The sequence below is a fragment of the Homo sapiens genome, chromosome 12 (assembly GCF_000001405.40).
Source record: "Homo sapiens chromosome 12, GRCh38.p14 Primary Assembly".
NCBI lineage: Eukaryota > Metazoa > Chordata > Mammalia > Primates > Hominidae > Homo > Homo sapiens.
Window position 1 is genome coordinate 107,079,346 of NC_000012.12, and position 16,244 is coordinate 107,095,589.

Genomic DNA, 16,244 nt, shown 5'->3' on the forward strand with positions numbered 1-16,244 from the left:
CACCAGAGGACAGCCTATTTGAGAAGTCAAGGCAGAATAAGTGAAGTTCAGAGATGCAAAGAGAAATGTGATCCTGGTAACATCTTCTGAGTCCTGGTATCAAGCGATGTCCAAAGCCAGTTTCCCTTAGGTTATTCAATTACATCTACCAATAAACTTTCTTTTTGCTTAAGCCTGTTTGACTCAGGCAACCAACTAGCAAACAAAAAAGTACTAAACAACATCTCCTATCTTTTCATGCACCACATGACTCAGCTACATCAGCCTCCTCACCACTATCAGAATACTGTGCCTTTCCTTAAGCTATTCTTTCAGTCTGGAATTTGCTTCTCTCTGCTTGGAATTCCCTTCCCTCCATGCCTTGCTTATTAAGATCCACTTTACACTTCAAGTTTCAGTTTAACTGCCTCAGTGAAATAATCACCAGAGACTAGAAAGAAGCAGAGGGCCAGATTACACAAGGATTTGAAACCATGCTATGGCTTTTTGAACTTTAACCTAAGGGTAAAGAAATGTCATTAAAAGGTTTTAAAGCATAAATGACATGACCAGATTTGCAATTTTAAAAAGATCACTCTACTTGCTGTGTAGCGAATGAATTAGAGAAGGGCAAGGGGGACAATGATTTGTAAGCTACCCAAACAACCTAGGCAAAGAGAATGGTGATATGGGCTAAAGAGACAATGGAGAGGGAAGAATGTATTTATGTAACTATTTTATTTCTGAATAAATCTTCCTCTGTACTATAAACTCCCTGAGGGCAGAGAAATTACCTGTTGACTATCATGCTATCCACAGAAATTAGCAAGTAATTGGCACACAGTAAGGACTCAAATGGGCAAATGGAAGTATCATTTGTGAAGACAGAAAACACAGGAAAACTCAGTTTGGGGTTTGTTTGTTTTTGTGCAATAGAGAAGGATGAAGATGAACTCTGTTTTGGACAAGCTGAGTTTGAGGTAATGTCATATATTCAAGCAGGCAAATGGGTATATATGATACATACAAACACACACACACGTCCGGGGATCAGGAAAGAGATTTGCGCTGAAGACACTAACTTGAGAATTCTGGGCATAGACGAGTAAATGGTAACGGACTTTATGAGAGGAGATAAGATTGCCTAGAAATATGTGAAATGAAAAGAGGGTGGAGATCACAGACCTCAGGGGCATTTAAAGGTTGAACAGAAAAGGAGAAGCTAAGGAAGAACACTAATAGCGCTGGCAGGAAAGCACAGAAGAGTCCTTTAATAAAGCCAAGGGAAGAAGAGGAAGGTGTGGTCAAATGTGTCAAACATTGTTAAAAAAAAATAAAAAAGAAAAAAAGAAAAAAGTCAGGGAATGGGCAGATTTAAAGTATCCTTTGGATAAAAATAGTTTTGGTAGAGTGGGTGGGAGTGAAGCCGGACATGCCTTAGTTTGGATTGGGTTCAAGGGTAAGTAGAATATAAAGAAATGAAGTCAGCCACTATTAGACATCTTGCTCAAGAAATTGGCTACAAAGAAACTGAGATACATAGTTGCAGGAGTGGAACACAGTTAATGCTAAGTTCTGTTCCTTTGTTGTTACAGGTTGTGTATGTTTTACAGAATTTGATCTTAAGCATGTTTAAATGTTGATTGGAGGCAACCTAAAAAGAAGAAAAAGTAGAAGAAAAGGTAAGAATAAATATAAAAAATGAGCAAAGTCTTTGAAATGGAGCACAGAAGAAGAAACTCGTTTTGAAAAGAGACAGCAGTATCTCTTCCACTGAAGTTGTATACTAGAAGGAAGAACTAGTAAGGATGTAGGCACATTTATAGATTTGGTTACTGAAAATTAAGAGAGCTTACAAGTCATAGCTTCAAATGTGTAATGAACATGTTGAAGTTTAAATTCTAAAACAAATCTGTTCATTGAGAATTTTTTTTAAGTTATGAGTTTAAGATAGACATTAACATATAAATTATATAAAGTAGCTGTCCTATCCCTCAACCTTAGATTTATAAGAAAAATTAAAACAATATTTAATGCCTACTATGTATAAGCCACTATGCTGTGGAGAACACAAAAAGGCTCTTTCCCCAGATACATGTATAGCCTGTTTCCTCTTCCTTTAGGTCCCTGTTCTCACATTCTGCTTTATTTCTCTCCATTGAATTTACCACCACCTGATACATTATTTTTGTCTTACTGTCCGTTTTCCCCCCACTGGAATAGGGCAGCAACTTTTTCTGTTTTATTCAATACTGTATACCCAGCATCAATAATACTGCCTATAATGGATAGGGACACAAAATAAACTTTTGATTTAAGAGGCAACTTCTCTTCAGGAAGGTACTATCTGTTAAGTGAGAGAGAGATTATATACAGAATACATCCCTGCTATGGTCTGAATGTCTATGTTCCCCCAAAATTCATGTTAAAACCTAATCCTCAATGCTACAGTATTAAGAGGTGGGGCATTTAGGAAGTTATTTGGTCATATGCATTGTACTGTCATGAGAGGGATTAGTGCCTGATATAGTTTACATATTTGTCCCCTTCAAATCCCATGTTAAAACTTGATCTCTAATACTGCAGATGGAGCCTAGCAAGAGGTATCTGAGTCATGGGGACAGACAAACACAAAAAACTGGTACCAGGAATGGGGTGTTGCTATAAAGATATCTAAAAACATAAAAGCAGCTTTAAAACTAAAGCTGCTTAGGGGTTGCAATCCTAGTCTCTGATAAAACAGACTTTAAACCAAAAAAGATAAAAAAAGACAAAGAAGGGCATTACACAATGGTAAATGGATCAATGTAACAAGAAGAGCAAATTATCTTAAATATATATATGCACCCAAAACAAGAGCACCCAGATTCATAAAGCAAGTTCTCGGAGACCTACAAAGAGACTTAGACTCCCACACAATAATAGTGGGAGACTTTAACACCCCACTGTCAATATTAGATCAATGAGACAGAAAATTAAGAAGGATATTCAGGACTTGAACTCAACTCCGGACCAAGCAGACCTAGTAGACATCTACAGAACTCTCTACCCCAAATCAACAGAATATACATTCTTCTCACACCACATAGCACTTATTCTAAAATTGACCAATAATTGGAAGTAAAACACTCCTCAGCAAATGCAAATAACGGAAATCATAACAAACAGTCTCTCAGACCACAGTGCAATCAAATTCGAATTCAGGATTAAGAAACTCACTCAAAACCACACAACTACATGGAAACTGAACAATCTGCTCCTGAGTGACTACTGGGTAAATAAAGAAATTAAGGCAGAAGTAAGTAAGTTCTTTGACACCAATGAGAACAAAGAGATAACATACCAGAATCTCTGGGACACAGCTAAAGCAGTGTTAAGAGGGAAATTTATAGCACTAAATGTCCATATCAGAAAGCAAGAAAGATCTAAAATCGACACCCTAACATCACAATTAAAAGAACTACAGAAGCAAAAGCAAACAAATTCAAAAGCTAGCAGAAGACAAGAAATAACTAAGATCGGAGCAAAACTGAAGGAGACAGAGACACGAAAAACCCTTCAAAAAAATCAATGAATCCAGGAGCTGGTTTTTTGAAAAGATTAACAAAATTGATAGACTGCTAGACAGACTAATAAATAAAAGAGAGAAGAATCAGATAGACACAATAAAAAATGATAAAGGGATATCACCACTGATCCCTCAGAAGTACAAACTACTATCAGAGAATACTATAAACACCTCTATGCAAATAAACTAAAAAATCTAGAAGAAATGGATAAATTCCTGGACACATACACTCTCCCAAGACTAAACCAGGAAGAAGTCACATCCCTGAATACACCAATAACAAGTTCTGAAATTGAGGCAGTAATTAGTAGCCTACCAACCAAAAAAAGCCCAGGACTAGATGGATTCACAGCCAAATTCTACCAGAGGTACAAAGAGGAGCTGGTACCATTCCTTCTGAAATTATTCCAAACAAAAGAAAAAGACGGACTGCTCCCTAACTCATTTTATATGAGGCCAACATCATTCTGATACCAAAACCTGGCAGACACAACAAAAAAAGAAAATTTCAGGTCAATATCCCCAATGAACATCAATATGAAAATACTCAATAAAATACTGGCAAACCGAATCTAGCAGCACATCAAAAAGCTTATCCACACGATCAAGGCAGCTTCATCCCTGGGATGTAAGGCTGGTTCACCATATGCAAATCAATAAATGTAATCCATCATATAAACAGAACCAATGACAAAAACCACACAATTATCTCAATAGATGCAGAAAAGGCCTTGGACAAAATTCAACACCGCTTCATGCTAAAAACTCTCAATAAACTAGGTATTGATGGAACGTTACTCAGAATAATAAGAGCTATTTATGACAAACCCATAGCCAATATCATACTGAATGGGCAAAAGCTGGAAGCATTCCCATTGAAAACTGGCACAAAACAAGGATGCCCTCTCTCACCACTCCTATTCAACATAGTATTGGAAATTCTGGCCAGGGCAATCAGGCAAGAGAAAGAAATAAAGGGTATTCAAATAGAAAGAAAGTCAAATTGTCTTTGTTTGCAGATGACATGATTGTATATTTAGAAAATTCCATTGCCTCAGCCCCAAAACTCCTTAAGCTGATAAGCAACTTCAGCAAAGTCTCGGGATACAAAATCAATCAGCAAAAATCACAAGCATTCCTATACACCAATAATAGAGAGTCAAGTCACGAATGAACTCCCATTCACAACTGCTACAAAGAAAATAAAATACCTAGGAATCCAACTTACAAGGGATGTGAAGGACCTCTTCAAGGAGAACTACAAACCACTGCTCAAAGAAATAAGAGAGGACACAAACAAATGGAAAAACATTCCATGCTCATGGATAGGAAGAATCAGCATCATGAAAATGGCCATACTGCCCAAAGTAATTAATAGATTCAATGCTATTCCCATCAAGTTACCATTGACTTTCTTCACAGAACTAGAAACAACTACTTTAAATTTCATATGGAACCAAAAAAAGAGCCTGTATAGCCAAGACAATCCTAAGCAAAAAGAACAAAGCTGGAAGCATCATGCTACCTGACTTCAAACTATACTACAAGGCTACAGTAACCAAAATAGCATGGTACTGGTACCAAAACAGATACATAGACCAGTGGAACAGAACAGAGGCCTCAGAAATAACACCACACACCTACAACCATCTGATCTTGACAAAAACAAGAAATGGGGAAAGGATTCCCTATTTAATAAATGGTGCTGGGAAAACTGGCTAGCCATATGCAGAAAACTGAAACTGGACCCCTTCCTTACACTGTATACAAAAATTCACTCAAGACGAATTAAAGACTTACATGTAAAACCTAAAACCATAAAAACCCTAGAAGAAAACCTAGGCAATACCATTCAGGACATAGGCATGGGCAAAGACTTCATGACTAAAACACCAAAAGCAATGGCAACAAAAGCCAAACTTGACAAATGGGATCTAATTAAACTAAAGAGTTTCTGCACAGTGAAAGAAACCATCATCAGAGTGAACAGACAACCTATAGAATGGGAGAAAATTTTTGCAATCTATCCATCTGACAAAGGTCTAATATCTAAAATCTACAAGGAACTTAAACAAATTTACAAAAAAAAAAAAACCCATCAAAAAGTGGGTGAAGGATATGAACAGACACTTCTCAAAAGACATTTATGTGGCCAAAAAACATGAAAAAAAAGCTCATCATCACTGGTCATTAGAGAAATGCAAATCAAAACCACAATGAGATACCATTTCATGCCAGTTAGAACAGCGATTATTAAAAGTCAGGAAACAACAGATGCTGGAGAGGATGTGAAGAAATAGGAACGCTTTTACACTGTTGGTGGGAGTGTAAATTAGGTCAACCATTATGGAAGACAGTGTGGTGATTCCTCAAGGATCTACAAACAGAAATATCATTTGACCCAGCAATCCCATTACTGGGTATATACCCAAAGGATTATAAATCATTCTACTATAATGACACAGGCACATGTATGTTTATTGTGGCACTGTTCACAATAGCAAAGACTTGGAACCAACCCAAATGCCCATCAATGATAGACTGGATAAAGAAAATCTGGCACATATACACTGTGGAATATGAAGCAGCCATAAAAAAGAATGAGTTCATGTCCTTTGCAGGGACATGGATGAAGCTGGAAAGCATCATTCTCAGCAAACTAACATAGGAACAGAAAACCAAACATCGCATGTTCTCCATAAGTAGGAGTTGAACAATGAGAACACATGGACACGGGGAGGGGAACAGCACATACCGGGGCCTGCCAGGGGTTGAGGGGCAAGGGGATGGAGACCATTAGGACAAATACCTAATGCATGTGGGGCTTAAAACCTAGATGACAGGTTGATGGGTGCAGCAAAACCACCATGGCACATGTATACCTACGTAACAAACCTGCAGGTTCTGTACATGTATCCCAGAACTTAAAGTATTAAAAAAAAAGCAAAAACTAAAGCTGCTTACAAGAGCTTAGAGAACTCAAAACAAAACAAAACAAAAACAAAAAACCTCATACACAAGAAAAACTTTAAAACTTTTTAGAGACTGGTTAAGAGGTTGTGATAAAAATGCTGATTAAAATATAGACAGTAAAGGCCACGTTCATGAGATCTCAAATAAAATTTTTAAAAACTAAAACAAAAAAATGGCCACATTATATGTTATGCTTGTTAACAAAAAACTTGGCTACATTGTATCCATGCCTAGGACTTTGTAAAAGGCTGAACTTAAGAGTAATGACTTAAGCTACCTGGCAAAAAAAAGTTTCTAAACAACAAAGCGTTCAAAAGGTGACATGGCTGCTTCTAACAGCCTACTATCAGATATGGGAGTTCAAAAAAAAGACAAAGTTAAAGCTAATAATTAAGAGAAAAACAGAGCATACAAATTTGAAAAATTTACAACCTAACCATGTGGTAGAGGGAAGTTTTCAGGAGAGAAATCCAAACTACCTAGCCCCAGGTACCAGGCCCTGACAGAACAGGTTGTTAAAGCAATTAACATGAATAAAAGAGAGCCAGTTGTTAACAGTCAAGACAATGGGGAAAAGCCCCCAAGACATTCCAGAAATCAAGGCTACCCCTTCCATCACAGGCTCAGAGGCCTCCTCGGGCAAAATGGTTTGGGAGGCCAGGCCCAGGGTGTTGCTGCCTTGTGCGGTCTTGAGATGCTACTCCCCACGTTCTGGCTGCTCTGGCTGCAGCCAGGGCTCAAAAGGCCCCAGGTACTGTCTGGACTGCCACTCCAGTGGGTGCAAACCATAGGCCTTGATGGTTTCCAAGTGGTGTTAAGTCTGCAGGTATACAGAATACAAGATCCATGGAGGTTTGGCAGCTTCCACCTAGATTTCACAAGATATGTCAAGAAGTCTGGCTGTCCAGGCAGAAGCCTGCCACAGCAGAGCTCCTACAGAGAGATTCTACTAGGCTGGTGCCAAGGGGAAATATGGGGTTACAGTCCCCACAGAGAACTCACTGTAGAGCAGCGGGAACAGGGGCACTGCCCTCCAGGACCCACAGTGGTGGCAGTCTAACTAAAGCCAAGAGAAGAAGAGAAAGGTGTGGTCAAATGTGTTAAATACTGTTAAGAAAAAGAAAAAGAAAGAAACAAAGAAAGAAAGAAAAAGAAAGAAAGGAAAAGAAAAGAGAAAAGAAAAAAAGAAAAGGAAAAGAAAAGTCAGGGAGTGGAAAGATTAAAAGTATCCTTTGGATGTAAACAGCATACACCCTCAGCCTGGAAAAGTGACAGACATTAGACTCCAATCCATGAGAGCAGCCATGTGGGCTATGCCCAACCAAGCCATAGAGATGCAGCTGCCCAAGGTTTTGAGAGCTCACCTCTTGGACCAGTGTGCTCAGGATGTGGGAGGGAGTGGAAAGTGAGGAAGTGGAAAGATTAAAAGAATCCTTTGGATGAAAACAGCACACACCCTCAGCCTGGAGAAGTGACAGACATTAGACTCCAATCCATGAAAGAAGCCATGTGGTCTGTGCCCAACCAAGCCATAGAGATGGGGCTGCCCAAGGCTTCAAGAGCCCACCTCTTGGACCAGTGTGCTCAGTTATGGGACAAGAGTCAAGCGAGATTATTTTACAGCTTTAAGATTTAATGTCTGCCCTTGTAGGTTTCAGACTTGGGTGGGTCCCTTTTTGTTGGTCAATTTGTCCCTTTTAAAATGAAAATATTTACCCAATGTCTGTTCCACCATTGTATCTTAAAAGTAGATAACTTGTTTTTGATCTTACAGGTTCATAGCTATAAGGAATCTGCCTTGAGTCTCGGATAAGATTTTAGACTTTGAGTTGATGTTGAAACTAGTTAAGATTTCTGGGGACTTTGAAAGAGATGATTATATCTTACAATAGAAAAAAGAGGGTGGGCATGGTGGCTTACACCTATAATCCCAGCACTTTCAGAGGCTGAGGCAGGAGAATTGCTTTAGCCCGGGAGTATGAGACAGCTTAGTGAGATCTCACCTCTACAAGTAATAAAAAAAATTACCTGGCCATGGTAATGCATGCCTGTGGTCCCAGCTACTTGGGAGGCTGAGGTGGGACAACTGCTTGAGCCCAGGTGGTTGAGGCTACAGTGAGCCATGATCACGCCTCTGCACTCCAGCCTGGGCAACAGAGTGATACCCCGTCTCAAAAATAAAAATAAAAATAATAAATAAATAAGACAAGATATTTGGGGGGCTAGAAGTGGAGTGATATAGTTTAGATATTTGTCCTTTTCAAATCTCATGTTAAAATGTTATCCCCAATGTTGGAGGTGAGAGGTGTTTGGAACATGAGATAAGATCCCTCATGAATGGCTTGGTGCTATCACGTAATGAGTGACTTCTCACTCTATTAATTAACAGAACAATTAATTATTAAAAAGAGACTGGTATCCCTCCCCTCTCTCTCTCGCCATGTGATATGTCAGCTCCACTTCCCCTTCCATCATGATTAAAAGCTTTCTGAGGTCCTCACCAGAACCAGAGGCTGAAGCCATGCTTCTAGTAAAGCCTGCAAAACTATGAACCAAGTAAACCTCTTTTCTTTATAAATTACCCACCCTCAGGTATCCCTTTATAATAACACAAACAGACTAAGGGAGTGCTCTTATAAAAAGGGCTGCAGGAACTTGTTTACCCCTTCTGCCATGTGAGGAGACAGAGAAAGCATCGTCTATTCAGCAGAGACACTGAATCTGCTGGTGCCTTGATTCTGGACATCTTCCAAAACTGTGAGAAATAAATTCCTGTTGTTTATAAACTACCTAGTCTAAAGGTATTTTGTTATAGCAGCTCAAACAAACTATTAATAAAACAATACTAACATTCACAAATGAGGGCAGCAAATGCTAAGAGTGATGTGAGGAGCAACAGCAAAAAGTGGTGCAAGAGTTCAGAATACTGCTAATCATCCCAGACAAGCACAGAGTTGTACAATCATCCATCACCTTCTAGAACAGTTTCATCATCTCAAAAAGAAACCTTGTGCCCCTTAGCTATCACCTCCCAACTCCCTAGCTTCCCCAGTCCTAAGGAGCCACTAGTCTGCTTCCTCTCTCTATACATTTGCCCACTGTGGACATTCCATATAAACAGAATCATATAACACATGGAATTTTGTGACTGGCTTCTTTCGTTTAGTTTGTTTTTAAGGTTCATTCATACATGTAGCGTATATCAGTACTTCATTCCTTTTTATGGCCAAATAATATTCCATTATATGGATATACCATATTTTGTTTACCCATTCATCAACTGATGGCCATTTGGGTTGTTCCCACCTTTTGGCTATTATGAATAATGCTTCTGTGAATGTTAGTGTATAAGTTTTTGTATAGGATAATTTTTCTAAGAGATGCAAATTTTCATAAAGCTTGTAAATTTACCCAAATCAAAAACATGTTATTCTGAGACAATGTCCTTCAAATTTTTTGTTGTTGTTGTTTGTTTGTTTGTTTTTTAAGAGATAGGGTCTCTCTGTGTACCCAGGCTGGAGTGCAGTAGCCCATTCATAGCTCATTGCAGCTTCCAACTCCTGGGCTCAAGTGATTCTCCTGCCTCAGCCTCCTGAGTAGCTGGGATTGCAGGCATGAGACATTGAGCTCTGCCAAACTTTTTTTTTTTAAATATAAAACATCCTTTTTAAATGAAAGGATGGCAATATCAAAAAGTGGTTTTGTTAATGTGCTTATTAGGTAGAATACTATTTAAAATTTTGCTTTTCTGTTAAATCCAAAAGTCTAAAAAGTGTTGACCGAAGAAAATACAAGATAGCTTCTAAAGAAAACTAAGAGGGTTTTCCCCCTGGAGTTGAAATCACATATTGTAAACAGCAGAAAATGAAATACATAAGCCAAAAGGTAGATCTTGCCAGGCTAAGGAATTTGGGCATTATCCCATAGTCAATAAGTAAATTAATAAAGCTGTTTAAATATAAAATTATTGACTCCAAGATATCACTATATTCAACAAACAATAATTGAGCTACTACTATATAAAAAGCACTGAATTTGGTACTATGAGTGATTCCAAAAAGACTTTTGCCTCTGACACTACCAAAACCACTCCAGATAAAATTCCAAATGACCTAAAATTGCTAAATCCAATTTTTATTTTTCAGTTCTCCTCTTGACCTATCGGTAGCATCTGACGTAAGTAAAACACTCTTCCTTGAAATATTTTCCTTCTTTCTTTTTTTTCTTTTTCTTTTTTTTTTTGAGACAGAGTCTGGCTCTGTTGCCCAGGCTGGAGTGCAGTGGCACGATCTCGCCTCACTGCAACCTCTGCCTCCTGGGTTCAATCGATTCTCCTGCCTCAGCCTCCTCGAGTAGCTGGGATTACAGGCATGTGCCATACGCCTATCTAATTTTTTTGTGTTTTTTACTAGAGACGGGGTTTTGCCATATTGGCCAGGCTGGTCTCAAACTCCGGGCCTCAAGTGATCTGCCTGCCTCAGCCTCCCAAAGTGCTGGGATTACATGCCTGACCAAAATACTTTCTTTACTTGGCTTCTAAGACACCATACTCTTCTGGGTTTTCTTCTTACATTACTAGTGGCTCCTTCGCAGTCTCATATGCTGGTTCTTTCACAGCTCCACAATTTATAAACATTAAGAGTATTCAAGGTTCAGCCCTTGCACCATTTGCATCTCTTGTCTATCTCATTTTATTAATGCTGTCAGTCTCACGGCTCCACTAGAATGTAGCTCCAACAGGGTGAGAATTGGGGGCTGTTTTGTTTATACTGGATCTCTAGCACCTAAAACAGTGCCTGGCATATAGTAGGTGCTTGACAAATATTTGTTCAATAAATGGTTGGATGAATAAATGGCTTTATATATTATCTATAAACTAATGAATTCTCCAATTTATACTTCCTGCCTGGATCTCTGTCTTGAGCTCCAGATACATCCAACTGCCTATTTGCTATCTCCATTTGAATGTGTAAAATACATCTCAAACTTAATGACTTAATGAAAGAGAACTCCAATCACCCTCCCAATGGCTTCTCCAGCTGGCTTCACTTTCTTAGCAAAGTGTAGCCCCATCCTTCCAGTTTCTCAAGCCAAAAATTTTCTCAAACAGTAACTAAACTGCTACTATATAAAAAGCACTGAATTTTGGTGCTTTTTATATAGCACCAAACTATAAGTCCTTTTTTTTTTTTCTTGCGACAGAGTACTCTGTCACTCAGGCTGGAGTGCAGTGGCACGATCTCAGCTCACTGCAACCTCCGTCTCCTAGGTTCATGCGATTCTCGTGCCTCAGCCTCCTGAGTGGCTGAGATAACAGGCATGCGCCACCATGCTCACCTAATTTTTATATTTTCAGTATTAATAGAGACAGGGTTTTGCCACGATGGCCAGGCTGGTCTCGAACTCCTGGCCTCAGCCTCCCAAAGTGCTGGGATTACAGGGATGAGCCACCGCGCCCAGCCTAACTCCTTTTCTTTCTCTCTCACTACATATCCAATCTGCCAACAAATACCCTGTATTTTGCCTTCAGAATATAACCAGCATCTGTTTATTTCTCACCACGTCCACGATTATTACTATGATTCAAGCCGTTATCATCTCTCACCTGGATGAATGCCAACAGCTTCTTAATTGGACTTCCTGCTTCTTGTCCACCTCCACTCCCCAATTCAGAACCACAAGCAGAAAAATTCTTTTCCAAACTTATGTCAGATCACATTACTTCTCTGCTCATAATCCTGCAGTTATTCCCATTTCACTAAGTAAAAACCCAAATCTTGAAAACTGCTTATAAGGCTCTCTTCAATCTGGCCCTAAGTCAACTCTGACCTCATCGTCTACTATTTTTCCCTCACTTATTCTGCTCCAGACATACTGGATTCTTCTGCTGTTCCTTCCAAAGGTCAAGCATATTTCTGCCTTTTCCCTTACTCTTCCCTTTGCCTGGAATGGTCTTCCCTTAGATATCTGCATCCCACCACCTCCTTCAGGTCTGCTCAAGTGTCACCTTCTCTGTGACTTTTCCCCCGATCATACTTAAAATTGCAACCCCATCCCTACCCTTGTATTCTTTATCCCTTTACTCTGCTCTATTTTTTTCCACAATACTTATCACCACCTAAAATACTACATATTTTACTTTCTGCTTGAAGACATGACTTTCTGTCTTTCACTCACTGCTATATCCCTAGCATTTAAATCAGTGCCTGGCACATGCTAAGTGATCAAGAGTCTATCTGTTGAGCTATGCTTTTATTTCCACCAGGGGGCCTAACAATCATGTAGCCTGGTGTTTCAGGAAAAGATCATAAAGCATCTCTAAGATTTCTTTCAGTGCTCTGATCCCTAGAAGGACTACAACTTGCCTAGAAAGAAAAACTGTGCTTTGTCTCGGCAACCACAAGGAGGAGTTGAGAAAAAGAACCGAGCAGAGAAACCAGATAATGCTGTTTCCCTTGCTTTTCCCACAGTAACCTCAAGGTGGAAGAACACTGGATCTGGAGCCTGCTGTACTGAATGAATGATTTTTCTCCATACTATGAGTTACCTAGACACAAACGTAAACAGGAAACATCACAATCCTTCCGAATGCCACAAAAAGGCCAAGGGAATCCATATACAATGGCCACTAAGGACAGGAAAGGTGTTTCTTTAACTCCAGCACTAAGAATTCTCCACAAATTCAGGGGAGGAGCTCCAGTTAGCACAGAAAGACACATAACTCACTGATGAAGACCGAGTGTTTCAGGTCGTCAGTACTCTTTGGCCAGAGAAGTATTAAGTCAATTCTATTTAATACTTAGGGCACCTAAAATTCGTAAGCGGTATAAGCAAGACAGTCCCACGTCTAAATTCACAGATTTGGCGGATCGCATGGAATTCATTAACATCAGACTCATTAAACACCCAAATCCATTTCCCACGGGCTTGTGACTCACCGCCACCTGTTGATGCCCACATTGGAGGAGCCGGCGAACCAGGGGTCCAGGATGTAGACGCAGCGGATGGTGTCGGCGCCCTGAATGCACTCCTTCAGGGCGGGGTTGTCGTGGAGCCGGAGCCCCTTTCGGAACCAGTGCACGGCGTTCACCCCCATGCCGGGGGGCGCGGCGGGTCCTCCACGGAGAAATTCAAGGAAGGAGGCTCCGGCTCATAGCCGACACCTTCGCTTCCAAGAGAATTGCCTCACCCGGGGCGTGAGGAAAGGGCGGCAGAGGGGGAACAGGAAAAAATGACTCCGAGGAGGGGACCGGAGAAGGCGGGGGCGCCGGAGGCGCAGTGGAAAGATGAATGGAGGTTGCCTAGTCGGCGGAGTCCGGGTGTGACGCCCTTTAGGAGCCCGCGCCCGCCGCAACCGCCTGGAGGCGACGCATAACTTCGAGGGCCTCGGACCTCCGGAGCCTGAGCAAGTTCCAGGAGCTCGAGCCGCCACGACGGCCCGAGCCGGCACGGACGGCCCCAGGAGATTCGTCACGGAAACCTCGCCCCACCAAGGCGGCCCCTAAAGACAAAACGGCCCGCCCGAGGTGAGTCACCGAGGAGAACCGGAGGGGAATGAGCCCCTGTCGGCGACGCTGTCTCTCGGCCCGGGAGAAAGGACCGGGAACGGAGGCTAGAGGCGGTGGTCGAGGCCGCTGGACGGTTGCCGGCCGGTGACCGGTCCCGAGGCTGCCCGGGTGACTCTGCCGCCGCCGCCGCGTCAGCGGCCTCGGCCCCGCCCCCGGCTCCTCATTGGAGGGCGCGCTCCCCTCGTGACCACCGGCACCTCACGTTTCTGAAGTGTGTTTACTACACTGGCTCGGAGGGGTAATCTGCTCGCGCTTCGGTCGCTTTTGGAGGAGCGGCAGCCGCTTGATCCCAAACTTGTTGACCCTCGTCCACACGCTGAACTCACTGCCTCTGCCCCTTTCCTGTGCCGACTGGTGGCCGTCCCTTGGAAGCAAATCGCGTTGACCACAGGCCCCTTGTGAGGGAAGGCTTAGCCCCGCCCCCAAGGGCCATGAGCGGCCACCATTGGCCGAGGCTCGCTGAGACCCGGATGAGCACGGGGATGCGGGGAGCTTGCGGGCGCGCGCGCTGCTCCGTTAGGCGCGCGTGCGCTCTCGCTGCGTTCCAGAGGGTAAGGGGGCGGGGCCGGCGGGCAGGAGCGCGCTCGGCGATTCCTCCCGTGGGATTTGGGGAGGGCCTGGAAATTGTCCGGTTTCCTTCAGGAGCCAGTGGTGGAGTCGGGCGGAGAGTGAGGGGAGGATGGAGTGGAAGGAGGAGAGTGGGAGGCTCCACGTACATTTCAAGTCCAAACCATGTGCTTCAATCCTGCTTTGGCCAGAGAACCCTACTTTGGAGATTGTGGAGCTGTGCCCCTCCACTCTCCTGGCCCTTGGGTGCCTCCTCCCCCTTGTACATACTCTGGGGAAAAGGGTAATTGGCAGGACGGATGCCAGGCATTCCTGGACTTCCTGGAATTTTTTTAATACTAGCGATATATATCATCAACCTTTCACCCCTCGTCTCTTACATTTAATGTAGTTTACCGGTCTCTTTGAAACTGGACGTTTGTCTACTTTTCCAGCGACAGTGAACTGCAGGCCATGGCATCCCTTAGATATATGATGCCCTTAAATTCATTCAATGATTACTTTTTGAATGAACTAGGCACTGTTCAAAGCACTAGAGATACAGGAGATACTTAATAAAACAGACTAAAACCCCACCCCTCCTGGGGTTTACAATTTGTCTCTTAACCTTTGCTGTTTTTTCCTCTATAAAATACTCTTCTTTGGAATCCAGTACTCAATATTACCACCTTTGAGCTACCTAGGATATTTCTACGCATCCCTTTAGACTCAGATGAAATAATAACTAATTTCTGAAAGTATTCCTGATCCCTAGGGCAAATTTAGGACCTCCCTGGGTTCTCCAAGTATGTTTCTGTTACATCACTTTTCACACTACCGTGAAAATTAGTTGAAAAGTGCCCATTCCTAGCAATACCAACTCAGTAATAGTACTTATTATCATAATAATGTGCCTCTGATTCCCTCTGAAGTGTGATTTCTCAAGGACTGGGTCTGTATTCAGTTTTCTTTTGTTTTTATTTTTTGCATCAACACCAGAACAGAGCCTGACATAGGCAAATGCTTATTTAATGAATGAATGAGTGAGTGAGTGAGTGCTGTTGGCCACCAGTGTGTTTGGCAAAGTTAAAAGAAAGAAGGAGATGGCAATTCTTATTGGTTGAATTGTGTGTCCCCAAAATCATATAACTCTCAATGACTATAAATGTGGCCTTATTTGGAAATAAGGTCTTTGTACATGCTCAAGTTAAGATGAGGTCATTAGGGTGCACCCTAATCCAGTGTGATTGGTGGCCTCATATAGTGGAGAAATTTAGACACAGAAATACATATACATACAGGGAAAATACCATGTAAAGATTGGAACTGTGCTGCCACAAGCCAAGGAACTACTGGAAGCTAGGAGAAAGACCTGGAACAGATCCTTTCTTAGCACCTTCACAGGACTGTCGCACTGCTGACACCTTGATTTTGAACTTCTGGCCTCTAGAACTGCGAGACAGTTAGTTCCTATTGTTCTAAGCCTCCCAATTTGTGGTGCTTTTTTACAGCAGCCCTAGCAAACTAGTGCAGCAATAAAGTAAATTCAATACTCTAGAGAGCCAATCTGTCTGAATAGTCTTCCCTACTTCTGCTTCTGTTGCCACAAG

At 41.8% G+C, this 16,244-nt stretch overlaps 1 protein-coding gene across 16 annotated transcripts in view, besides 3 other annotated features; it reads right to left on the reverse strand.

Moving 5' to 3' along the window:
* The window catches only part of CRY1 (cryptochrome circadian regulator 1), a 102,186-nt gene extending 87,982 nt beyond the window's left edge, over positions 1-14,204 (reverse strand). For 14 of the 16 annotated variants that reach the window (NR_182153.1, NR_182152.1, NM_001413466.1 and 11 more), the window contains exon 1: positions 13,459-14,204. Coding sequence is in view for 7 of the 16 variants with exons in the window: in NM_001413460.1 (NP_001400389.1) it covers positions 13,459-13,616 (158 nt within the window). In the remaining 9 variants the exon portion in view is untranslated. The remainder of the gene's footprint in view (positions 1-13,458) is intronic. The other 2 variants (NM_001413468.1, NM_001413463.1) reach the window with 2 other exon arrangements.
* Positions 14,036-14,265: a silencer, noted in NCBI's record as "silent region_4820". NCBI's record gives its function as "represses an Ori minimal core promoter by ATAC-STARR-seq in GM12878 lymphoblastoid cells {active_cell/tissue: GM12878}" and the evidence as "EXISTENCE:reporter gene assay evidence [ECO:0000049][PMID:35858748]".
* Positions 14,346-14,495: an enhancer, noted in NCBI's record as "active region_6951". NCBI's record gives its function as "activates an Ori minimal core promoter by ATAC-STARR-seq in GM12878 lymphoblastoid cells {active_cell/tissue: GM12878}" and the evidence as "EXISTENCE:reporter gene assay evidence [ECO:0000049][PMID:35858748]".
* Positions 14,596-14,675: a silencer, noted in NCBI's record as "silent region_4821". NCBI's record gives its function as "represses an Ori minimal core promoter by ATAC-STARR-seq in GM12878 lymphoblastoid cells {active_cell/tissue: GM12878}" and the evidence as "EXISTENCE:reporter gene assay evidence [ECO:0000049][PMID:35858748]".